The sequence below is a fragment of the Homo sapiens genome, chromosome 14, assembly GCF_000001405.40.
Source record: "Homo sapiens chromosome 14, GRCh38.p14 Primary Assembly".
NCBI lineage: Eukaryota > Metazoa > Chordata > Mammalia > Primates > Hominidae > Homo > Homo sapiens.
The window spans coordinates 66,723,326-66,736,342 of NC_000014.9; the positions used below are offsets into that span (position 1 = coordinate 66,723,326).

General features: G+C 37.9%; 1 protein-coding gene and 1 long non-coding RNA gene across 21 annotated transcripts in view; both read left to right on the forward strand.

Annotated features, from left to right (window-relative positions):
• Window positions 1-13,017, forward strand: part of GPHN (gephyrin) — a 1,227,209-nt gene that overhangs the window by 215,179 nt on the left and 999,013 nt on the right. The gene's annotated exons all lie outside the window — the stretch shown is intronic.
• LOC124903332 (uncharacterized) overlaps window positions 1-13,017 on the forward strand; it is a 32,329-nt gene that overhangs the window by 620 nt on the left and 18,692 nt on the right. The window contains exon 2 of the long non-coding RNA XR_007064219.1: window positions 1-13,017. This exon is cut by the window's right edge and continues 18,692 nt beyond it. This is a non-coding gene — a long non-coding RNA (uncharacterized LOC124903332).

Below are 13,017 nucleotides of genomic sequence, written 5' to 3' on the forward strand. Positions count from 1 at the left end.
GTTATAACCTTTTGGTTATAAAAGGTTAACCTTTTGGTTATAACCTTTTATAAATATTATTTATGAAAGTTTATAAGTTAACGTGCTTTCATCTATTTAATTCACTTTTAATAATTATGCTTGGATTGCTCATGAAAATTTCATGAGACACTGCTCAAAGGTAGATATTCTCTTAAATTTTGTTGTTGACAAATCAGACAAGTATCTAAAATATCACAGAAGCAAAAATCCTAATAAACAAAAACCTTGTTTTTGCCTTTTTAAAGTGTATACATCAATTCATTTTTATTGTACATTTGATTCTTAGGTTGCATTTATAGTTTTATTCTCATAAATATCTGGTAGAGATAGCATAAGTTTGTTTGATGAGTAAACCTAAGTGGAAAACAATTATATGTCGTATTATGTTTAATGCTGACAACTCTGACAACATTCCTGTTTTTATTTTACCAACAATCTTTAAACCAGTTTTATTTACCAAAGATTATCCCAGATCACATGAACCTAAAATAATTAGGTTAGTTTTCATATTTTTGAGAGTTTTAGGAATACCTAGTTTATACAAGCACTGATTTTTCTTTACATCAATTAAATGGAGCCCTTTTGTATAATTTTCTATCTGGAGATAGAAAAATATCACAAATCTATGTCATGCATACATACACACACACACACACACACACACACACACACACAAACAGATTCAAATAAAGATCTTACAGGTTTCATTTGAAAATTTCTGCAATGAGTCAATAAAACATAGTAATGTGAACTCAACTGGTTTATATAAAATCTTGTCTTTTCGCCAGCTTATACTTTTATTCAATTTGTGATTCTGGCATATGGGACAAATCGAGGTTAGCTACTCAATATGAGGACCAGTGCTTTTCACCAATATTTGGGGAGGGTTTTTTTTTAAGATTTTAATTGCCCTTCTGATAGGTAATTTTTTTTATTTTTCTTTTTCCACAACAAATTCAGATCTTCCAATCATAAGTAGTATAATGGCAGCTGTGGACAAAACTTCAGACAAGTGACTAAGGAGACATCTAGCAGCTGTTCAGTTTTCTCCAAACTCTGTCTGAGAAAATACAATACCCAATCTATTTCCAATTAGCCTTTCTTTTTTATTTTTCAGCAGACCCCCTGAAGCCCTTGAGAACTGAGATTCCTAAAGTTCAAGTTACTGAGGGGCTGGAGTGGGAAGGGAAAATGTCTAACAGGGGTAGATAGAGGGATGCAGGAGGTAGGGGCTTGGAGAGAGGAATATCAAGGATTCAAGGGATGTGCCTTTCCTTCAGGTATAGGTAGGGTACCTCTTACATGAGAGTCTTAAAATCTGCTTCAGAGGAATGCCATTAAGTCCTTCCTACACGTGATTTCTCACATGCCTTCAGCTTAGAATATTCAGTATACCAACTGAATATTTTGTGATAGCATGTACTGAACTCTTCATTAGTTAAAAGTTGCTAAAGTTTAAGGAAGAGAGCATTTAATTCTCACCCTATCATATTAAAAATTGTATTTGAATACCCTGAACGTAGAGAAAAAGCTGGGCCCAGAACTAAAATAATATCAGGGTACCTGATATTGGAATTTTGAACTGAATTGTGTCTCCTCCAAATTTATATGTTGATGCACTGATTGCCAGTGTGACTGTGTCTGGTCTTTAGGAGGTAATTAAGGTTACATGAGATCATAAAAGTGTGGCTCTTCTTATAGGGCCACAGTCTTAATGCAATAGGACGGTGGCCTTATAACAAGAATACAGACTCACCTCCTTCTCTTCCTCATGACAACACTGCAAGAAGATGGCTGTCTTTGAGCCAGGAAGAAAGCCCTCATCAAAACCTGGCCATGCTGGCACCCTGATATTGGACTTTTGTTATGTAATCCACCCAGTGTATGTATTTTATTACAGCAGCCCTACCTGATTAACACATCTGCCAAGCTGAAATGTTGGACACCTGTCAAGTTTAAGGTGTATGTAATTGCTTTCTTCAGTCTTGATATAGATAGGTCTTTATTTAGTTCTAATCTTTTTTTCCCTTCATATTTGTTGCCCTCACTGGAAAACAGTATGTTTTATGTAGCAGTAAGAGCCTTGTAAATAATGTTTTTCAAGTGAGGACAGGACAGATAGTGTTTTTGTTTGTTTGTTTGTTTTGTTTGTTTTTTGACAGTGTCTTGCTCTGTTGCCCAGTCTGGAGTGCAGTGGCACAATCTCGGCTCACTGAAACCTCCGCCTCCTGGGTTCAAGCAATTCTCCTGCCTCAGCCTCCTGAGTAGCTGGGATTACAGGTGCACGCCACCACGCCTGGCTAATTTTTGTATTTTTCATAGAGACAGGGTTTTACCATGTTGGTCAAGCTGGTGACAGATAGTTTTAGTTGCCCCCTTCCTATGAAAATACAGAATACTGAATCCAGTTTTTGTGTATTCAATTAAAATTCCACTAATGCTTCAGCTTTTTTAACAAGAAAATATTTCTGTTTTGAATGTTTAACACAGAGTCACAAGATAGTCATGTATGCATGCCTGGTATTGAAAAAATCAGTAAAAAACTGATAACTTACTGACTATCCAAATTGTTACTATACTTTGATGTTTGTATTGTACCATGATGATAAATCTGGTCCTTAGCATAGTAATTGTTATTTTCATAATCTCTAAATCAGTTTCTTCTGGGTTCTGAGATCCAAAAAGATGAAACAAAGACTAATTGTTGACTGAAAGAAATATAAGTAACAGCTACTGCTAACACATTTTAAAATTAGAATGCATAAATTAACAAATAGTGCCAAAAAGTAAACACTTTTTTGCAAGGCAAATCATATGCCTTATCTACTCCCGTTCAAATTAATAAAAATACACTATTTATAAACATGTACTACTGTACTTTCCTTTTAGCTTTATTTCAGAAAAATGTGGAATAATTTACACTTCCACCTCTCAGGATGCTGTCAGCAGTAGCATAATAGCAAAAGTAGAAGCATTTTGAAATTTAAAAAAGGCAGAAATTAATTAAATTTAAAACAAATTAAAATTAAAATATGGTGGCATTATAAAGATGTGTTCTGATAAAAGTCTAGTATATTTTACTATTTTGAGAAGCAAATCAACTCATTTATGAATCCTTTTAATATTTTTCTGTATTTAATTGCATTTGCTAGAGCAGTCTTCTTCTAGGGATGTTTAAGATCCCTTTACTATTAATAGCTGGAAAATGAATAGTCAGAGTACTGATTGATGATATGATGATTTTAGACTATTATTATTTTGCATTTATATAGCATATTGCCTCATATGTATTCAAATATTTCATAAAAGCAGTTATCAGAATAACAAAGTCTGTATTTGCACACAAGTATTACAAACAATTTAAAGATACACAGATTGACCCTCCCTCATCTGAAAATCTGAAATCTGAAATTCTCTAAAATCTGAAATTTTTGAGTGCTGCCATGATGCCACAGGTGAAAAATTGCACACCTGACCTCATGCAGTGAATTGCAATCAAAACTTTATTTCAAGCACAAAATTATTTTAAAATATTGTATAAAAATCATCTTTATGCTACGAATATAAGGTATATATGAAACATAAATGAATTTTGTGTTTAGACTTTAGTCTTATATGATTTGGCTGTGTCCCCCCTCAAATCTCATCTTGAATTGTAACTCCCACAATTCCCACATGTCATAGGAGGAACCTGGTGAGACATAATTGAATCATGGTGGCTGGTCTCTCCCATGCTGTTCTAGTGAAAGTAGATAAGTCTCACAAGATCTGATGGTTTTTAAAACGGGAATTTCCCTGCACAAGCTCACTCTTGGCCTGCTGCCATCTTAGTAAGACGTGACTTGCTCCTCCATGCCTTCTACCATGATTGTGAGGCCTCCCCAGCCACGTGGAACTCTTAAGTCCATTAAATCTCTTTCTTTTGTAAATTGCCCAGTCTCAGGTATGTCTTTATCAACAGCATGAAAATGGACTAATGCAGTAAATTGGTACCAGTAGTGTGGGGTGCTGCTGAAAAGATACCCAAAAATGTGGAAGTGACTTTGGAACTGGGTAACAGGCAGAGGTTGGAACAGTTTGGAGGGCTCAGAAGAAGACAGGAAAATGTGGGAAAGTTTGGAAGTCCCTAGAGACTCGTTGAGTGGCTTTCACCAAAATACTGATAATGATATGGACAATGAAATCCAGACTGAGTTGGTCTCAGATGGAGATGAAGTACTTGTTGGGAACTGGAGAAAAGGTGACACTTGTTATGTTTTAGCAAAGAGACTTGCCCCTGCCCTAGAGATTTGTGGAACTTTGAACTTGAGAAAGATGATTAGGGTATCTGGCACAATTGATTTCTAAACAGTAAAGCATTCAAGAGGTGACTTGGGTGCTGTTAAAGGCATTCAGTTTTAAAAGGGAAACAGAACATAAAAGTTTGGAAAATTTATAGCCTGACAATGCGATAGAAAAGAAAATCCCATTTTCTGAGGAGAAATTCAAGCTGGCTGCAGATACATGCATAAGTAATAAGGAGCCAAATGTTAATCCCCAATACAATGGGGAAAATGTCACCAGGGCATGTAGGAGGTCTTCGAGGCAGCCCCTTTCATCACAGGCCCAGAGGCATAGGAGGAAAAATGGTTTCACGGGCTAGGCCCATGGTCCCTGTATTGTGTGCAGTCTAGGGACTTGGTGCCCTGTGTTCCAACCACTTTAGCCATGGCTAACAGGGGCCAAGGTAAAGCTTGGGATGTGGCTTCAGAGGGTGCAAGCCCCAAGCCTTGGCAGCTTCTACATGATGTTGAGCCTGCGAGTGCACAGAAGTCAAGAATTGGGGTTTGGGAACCTCTGCCTAGATTTCAGAGGATGGATGGAAATGCCTGGATGTCCAAGCAGAAGTTTGCTGCAGGGGTGGGGCTCTCATGGAGAATCTCTGCTAGGGCAGTGCAGAAGAGAAATGAGGGGTTGGAGCCCCCACACAGAGTCCCTACTGGGGCACGGCCTAGTGGAGCTGTGAGAAGAGGATCATTGTCCTCCAGACTTCAGAATAGTAGATCCACTGATAGCTTATACTGTGCACCTGGAAAAGCAGTGCACACTCAATGCCAGCCCATGGCAGCAGCCAGGAGGGAGGCTGTACCCTGCAAAGCCACAGGGTCGGAGCTACCCAAGACCATAGGAACCCACCTTTTGCATCAGCATTACCTGAATGTGAGACCTGGAGTCAAAGGAGATCATTTGATTTGACGTAAGATTTGACTGCCTTGCTGGCTTTCAGACTTGCGTGGGGGCTTTAGCCCCTTTGTTTTGGCCAATTTCTCCCATTTGTAAGGGCTGTATTTACCTGTACCCTCATTGTATCTAGGAAGTAACTAAATTGCTTTTGATTTTACTGGCTCATAGGTAAAAGGGACTTGCCTTATCTCAGATGAGACTTTGGGCTGTGAACTTTTGAGTTAATGCTGAAGTGAGTTAAGACTTTGGGTGACTGTTGGGAAGGCATGATTAGTTTTGAAATGTGAGGACATGAGATTTAGGAGGGGTCGGGGTGGAATGATATGGTTTGGCTGTGTCCCCACCCAGATCTCATCTTGAATTTTAACTCCCTCAATTCCCACATATTGTGGGAGGAACCTGGTGGGAGGTAATTGAATAATGGGGTTGAGTCTTTCCAATGCTGTTCTTGTGATAGTGAATAAGTCTCAGCTGATCTGATGGTTTTAAAAACAGGAGTTTCCCTGCACAGGCTCTCTCTTGGCCTGCTCCCATCCACATATAAAACATGGCTTGCTCCTCCTTGCCTTCCACCATGATTGTGAGGCCTCCCCAGCCACATCAAACTGTAAGTCCATTAAACCTCTTTATTTTGTAAATTGCCCTGTCTCGGGTATGTCTTTATCAGCAGCGTGAAAATGGACTAATACATATCCCCAGGATATCTCATTATATATGTATGCATATATTCCAAAATCCAAAAAAAGTTGAAATTTGGAAAAACTTCTAGTCCAAAGTATTTCAGATAAGGGATGTTCACCCTCTGTCTGTCCAAAAATCATGAACGAAGATCTAGTTTGTGTGTAGAAAGTTGCAGTTTCACCCTAAAAAGCAAAACAAGCTGGATAAGTCATATAATTCAAAGATTATATAATCAAAATTTTGGTTATAGCGATCTACGAGTAGTTGCCTGAGGTAGAGGGAATTTACTAGAAAGGGAAATTTGAGATCTTTCTTGGATGATGGAAATAGTCTATATGTTGCTTGGGTGGCAGTTTCACAATTACATAAAATTGTCAAAATCCATCAAACATAACATCAGAGATCATTATTTTTTGTATATATATTAACTTGATATGAAAATCTGAATGTGGTTTAATATGATTCAATTTGCATTTAATTTAAAATAGATTAATTTAGCAACAGTAGCAACAGTGAAGGTGGAATACGTTGAAAATAAAGGTTATGACTTTTGTGGGCACTGATAGTCAATGGGTTGTCAGAAAGAAGAGTAGTAATTCCCATTTTTTGTGTGGAACCATGGATACTGGTAGAAAATTTTTTCAGTTACACTAGTTCTGATCTGATCTCCCACTATGATTGTATAAAGCAGTGAAAACTCATTTAATATTCTTCCAGGACTTTCATTTATCAATGCCTACCAGGCAGTGATAATCAGGATAGCCATATGCTTTGTCTACTCTTGGTTAAATTAATGGAAACAACAACAACTTTATATAATATGGTAACTATACTGTATTGTGGTAGTCAAAGTTAGATTCATTTAGCTTGCTGCAATGCATAGGGAGGCTGTGCAAGGAGCTAAGGTATTTTGGTACAAGAAGTTACTAGGAATTCATCATAGGATTCAGGGTTGTGCTTAAACGTGGTTTCCGTGGACTCAGTGTCCTTAGAGTCTGCTAGGCTCCATGTGGGTTCTTCCTTTTGTGTCAGCCTCCAGGAAACTCACTCAAGCCTTTGAAAATCAGGCTCACCTATTTGTTTCCTGTCTCTCTGGAATCACTATCTTTACTCTTGAGTTTAATCGTTTGAATACCAAGCTGTTGATATATATATCTTCTGACTTTTTTAGGTGTTTTAGAAAATAGGGAAAATCCAGTATCTTTATTCCTTCTTGGTCAGAAATAAAAGTTCTCATATTTTTTTTACTAAAATGTTGGGGTAGGGTGATATGTGGATAGACAAAAAAGTTAATATGCCAGTGCTTATTTGTAAAACATAAAGCTTAAATGAAGAAAAGTAATATTAAAATAGTTATACATCGTTTTTTAAACACTATGTTCAAGGCATCTTGATCTGTGGAATTATGTATTTTAGCTAAGTTGTACTAAATAGTACTGATTCAGATATACAAATCATAATACTTATCAGCTAATTGAAAGCTCCTTGAGAGGAATATTTAATGGTTTAATTTTGAACATACTACATATTTTAAGTATCAAATGTTCAGTAAATATATATGTGGAATACATGTTTTCTGTGTCAGACACTGATATGGTTTGGCTCTGTGCCCCTACCTAAATCTTACCTCAAATTGTAATCCCCATGTGTCAAGGGAAGGACCTGTAATCTTCATGTGTCAAGGGATGGAGGTGATTGGATAATGTGGGTGGTTTCCCATGCTGTTCTCGTGATAGTGAGTTCTCACGAGATCTGATGGTTTGATAAGGCAGTTTTGCCTGCTCTTGCTGGCTCTCTCTTGCCTACCGCCATGTAAGACATGCCAGCTTCCCCTTCTGCCATGATTTTAAGTTTCTTGAGGCCTCCCCAGCCACATGGACATGTGAGTCAATTAAACCTCTTTTCTTTATAAATTACCCAGTCTTGGGTAGTTCTTTATAGCAGTGTGAGAACAGACTAATACAGTAAACTGGTAAAGTGGTGAGTGAGGTACTGCTATAGAGATACCCAAAAAGGTGGTTGTGACTTTGGAACTGGGTAACAGGCAGGGATTGGAATAGTTTGTAGGGCTCAAAAGAAGACAGGAAAATGTGGGAAAGTTTGGAACTTCCCGGAGACTTGCTGAATGGTTTTTACTAAAATGCTGACAATGAGGTGGCCAATGAAGTCCAGGCTGAGGTGATCTCAGATGGAGATGAGGAACTTCTTGGTAACTGGAGCAAAGGTCACTCCTGCCTTGCTTTAGCAAAGAGACTAGTGGCATTTTGCCCCTGCCCTAGAAATCTGTGGAACTTTGAACTTGAGGGAGATGATCTGAAATTGGAACTTATGTTTAAAAGGGAAGCAGAGCATAAAAGTTTGGAAAATTTGCAGCCTGACAATGTGATAGAAAAGAAAAATCAATTTTATGGGGAGAAATTGAAGCCCATTGTAGAAATTTTCATAAGTAATGAGGAGTGGAATGTGAATAGCCAAGACAGTGGGGAAAAATGTCACCAGGGCATGTCAGAGATCTTGGTGGCCACCCCTCCCATCACAGGCCCAGTGGCCTAGGAAGAAAAAATGGTTTCGTGGGCTGGGCCCTGAGCCCCTCTGCTCTGTGCAGCCTTGGGACATGGTGCCTTGTGTTCCAGCTGCTTCAGCTCCAGCCATGGCTAAAAGGGGCCAAGGTACAGTTTGGTCCATTGCTTCAGAGGGTGCAAGCCCCAAGCCTTAGTGGCTTCCATGTGGTGTTGGGCCTGAGGGTGCACAGAAGTCAAGAATTGAGTTTTAGGAACCTCCACCTAGATTTCAGAGGATGTATGGAAACACCTGGATGTCCAGGCAGAAGTCGGGTTTAGGGGCAGAGCCCTCACAGAGAACTTGTACAAGGGCAGTGCAGAAGGGAAATGTGGCTTTGGAGCCCCCACACAGAGTCCCCACTGGGGCACTGCCTAGTGGAGCTATGTGAGAAGAGGACCACCACCCTCCAGACCCCAGAATGGTAGAACACTGACAACCAGTACCATGAGCCTAGAAAAGCCACAGGTACTCAATGCCAGCCCATTCACCAAAGCTGCCCAAGGCTGTGGGAGCCCACCCATTGCATCAGCGTACCCTGGATATGAGACTTGGAGTCAGAGGAGATAAGCTTTCAAATTGAGTGACTGCCCCAATGGATTTAGAACTTGCATGGGGCCTGTAGCCCCTTTGTTTTGGCCAGTTTCTCCCATTTAGAATCGGTGTAGTTACCAAATGCCTGTGCCACCATTGTAACTTAAAAGTAACTAGCTTGGGTCCTTTTTGAGATGCAGTGTTGCTCTTTCGCCCAGGCTGGAGTGCAATGGCACAATCTCGACTCACTGCAACCTCCGCCTCCCCGGTTCAAGCGATTCTTCTGCCTCAGCCTCCCATGTAGCTGGTACTACAGGCACGCACTACCACACCTGGCTAATTTTTGTATTTTTAGTAGAGACGGGGATTCACCACATTGGCCAGGCTGCTCTTGAACTCCTGACCTCGTGATCCACCCCCCTCGGCCTCCCAAATTGCTGGGGTTACAGGAATGAGCCACCGCATCTGGCCTTGTTTTTTATTTTACCTGCTTATAGGCAGAAGGGACTTGCCTGTCTCAGATGACACTTTGGACTGTAGACTTTTGAATTAATGCTGAAATGAGTTAAGACTTTGGGGGACTGTTGGGAAGGCATGATTGGTTTTGAAATGTGAAAAGAGATGAGATTTGGGTGAGGCCAGGGGTGGAATGATACAGTTCGGCTCTGGGTCCCCACCCATATCACATCTTGAATTGTGATCCCCATGAGTCAAGGGAGGGAGCTGTAATCTCCATGTGTCCAGGGAAGGAGATGATTGGATCATGGGGGCAGTTTTCCTCATGCTATTCAGTAATAATCAGTGAGTTCTCATGAGATCTGATGGTTTAAGGCAGTTTTCCCTGCTTGTGCTAGGTCTCTCTTGCTTGTCGCCACATAAGACATGCCTGCCTCCCCCTCCACCATGATTGTAAGTTTCCTGAGGCTTCCCCAACCATGCGGAAATGTGAGTTAATTAAACCTCTTTTTTTTTTTTTGTAAATTACCCTGTCTCAAGTATATCTTTATAACAGTCTGAAAACAGACTAATACAGACACCTAGCATTTCTTATTAGAATTCATAATATTTATTCCTTCCCTGAGCTTAAGAGCCATTTTCAGGTAAGATGAGAACTAACATCTATTTATATAAATCCAATAAAATATATGAATTTTGATTACAAATGCTAATTTTCACTCAGTTTTAAGCTTCTATTTCTTATGCTAGTTTCTCTTCATTATGTTGCTATAGATCTACTGATTATCCACTTTATGTCTTTCTAAATATTCCTTTATTTACTGATATATTAAAATTTTTGAACAATTAACTTTATTTATCAAAGACTAACATAATTCCTGATCTCTTGGTAGTTAAGTGGGGAAGGCACATATCTATCAAATAAGCACTCTAATTTGTATATAATTAAGGCTGAAATAACTATACCAGAATTAAGGATAAAGTTTTGTAAAGACTGAAATAATCTATTAAGTCTCATGCACAGAAGAGACATAGTTCAGGAGGTATTTTGGATGAAAATTGCCAAAGATATTGTAGCTGAATCCCAAACCTGAGAAATATTCTTGGTTTTTTAGTATTTTTCCTTCATCACCACCGCCATTGCCACCATCCCTCTTCAGTCTAGTCCATTACCAAATCCCATTAGCTCCTTCTCCAAAATAACATCAAATCCAACTATATTATCTATTCTACCATCACCCTGGTTTAAGCCAACATCATCTCTAACTTGAACTTGCAGTATTTCTAAATATCTGTTTCCATTCCTGTCATCCTTTAATCCATTCTCTATATAGCAGCCAGAGAAACCTTTTATTAACCGTAAATCAGACCATGACATTTTTCTTCTTAAAACCTTGGTGGCTCTCTATAACATTCAGAATGAAGTCCAGTTTATTCAGGATAGGCTACTAGACCCTGGTTCCTGACCTTCTCTCCAATCTCATCTCATCACCATTTTATTATTTATTTATTTTTCTCCTCACTCTCTTCCTACAAGCTATGCTGGCTGCCTTTTCATTGCAAGAATAAACCAAGCTCCATACTATTTTGGTGCCTTTCAGTTTTTGCTGTCCTGTACCTAGAATGTTTTTCTCCAGTTTTTTACTTATTTGGCTCATCGATGTTAAAATCAGATCACCTCTTCAGATAGGCCTTCTCCAATAACCTTGTCTAAAGTGACCTCAAGTTATTGTATTAACTTATTTTCTCCCTCATTTAATTTTATCTCCTTAAGTTCTGTGAAAGCTATGAATTCATTCCATTTATCTTTGTTGTAGCTATCTTTGTTGGCACTTAGGTGCTCAGTAAAAATACTTTTTATGTGGATATTTCCCCAGTCTTCTTAGTAAAGTCTGAACTATAATGAAGGATCATAATCATAGCAAACATTTATGTAGTCTCCATATAAATTAATAATTGACAGTTGATGATTTCTGAAAACCATAATCCGTATTCACTCAGTAAGTGAGTATTTTATATTATAGCTGAAAATAGCTTACTTTTAAAGGTATAAAGTAAAGGATAAGGACTCATACACACTTATAAAGTCTAAAGTTGTTAATTCAGTTCAACAGATAATTTACATTTAATACTGAAATTCACTATTTACTATGTTCAGTGTTGTGTTAGGCAAGCTGTCTAGCTTAAAGGACACTAATGTTCAACATGAATTCTAAATGGAGTAAGTAATTGGAGATCTGGTATAGAAATTGAGTGAAATGCATTATTAAAATCCATGAAAACCAACAAGTCTTAGTAGTTATTCTTTACAAAAGCCATAATTAAGACCCACACCTCCCAAACTGTGCACCAGGGTACCCCAGACTGCCATAGAAAACTCTTAGGGATACCATAGGCTTTTTTTAAATTTTGAGGGAAACCAGCAACATCTGTCAGATACTATGTAAAGTACTATCTCAAGGTAGTTCGCAGTTTCAGTGTTAGATTGTACCTTTGATGATGTCACATCTTTATGAAGCTGGGTTTTGCACAGTTAACTGTGAGAAAAAGCAAGTACTACAGGAAAATTATTGTGGAAGAGGAAAGGAGGGCAACAGTATCCAATATGATTCAAAGGTTTAGGATATGTACAGGGCCCAATAGTTGTACCCATCCCATTAGTAAGTAATTGTAGTTACTATTAATAATTATTTAAAATTAATATGTTTTTACTTTCAATTTGTATCTATTATTTAACAGCTACTAATTTGTTAGGATATAAAACTTAAGTTGTTTGGACCTTACTACTTAATAAACAGAACTATTAGATACTTCTTTTACTGGGTGCCATGAAAACATTATTGAGACACCCAGAGCACCTTGAACTGAGAAAGTTTGAGAACTTCTGATATAGCCAAATTTTATTTTATTTTATTTTTATGATTCAAATATCATTTTATTGTTAATAGCATCTTTCTGGAGATCTGGTCTTCAACAGACTCTCTAGAAGAAATTTATGTTTATGATAAGTGGGAGACTATACTATAGAAGCATAGAGAAAGAGAAATAATATTTACTGGGTACCTACTATGTTATAGACATTATTTTTATTTCTTGTTTAATACTTATAGCAATCTTAAGATATATAATGATGATCTTCCCATTTTATAGACAGGGAACCAAAGGTCAAAAAAATTAGATATTTTGCTAGGTTACACAGCTAACTGGATGGTGCCTGAAGAAGCTAAAGGCTTTTTATGGCAATGACTAATGTATTATTTTCAACTTAAGAAAGTTAGTTGGATGGAGTGACAAAGGAACAAAGATCTACTATATTGTGGATTTTATTACTGTAAATAAACACTGAAGGTTACTTTTTTTTTTAAATTCTTAGTCCCTATTATTCATGCAAGTTTTTCATGTCATTTGCTGGATCATTAAATTTGAGTATATTTGGTAGTCTTATTTCCATAATAGAGAATCAGTGAAGATTGTTTTAGTGTTTCACATAGTTAAAATTGTATTTTGGTCACCTACAACTTGATAATCTATAGAAGTTAAGTA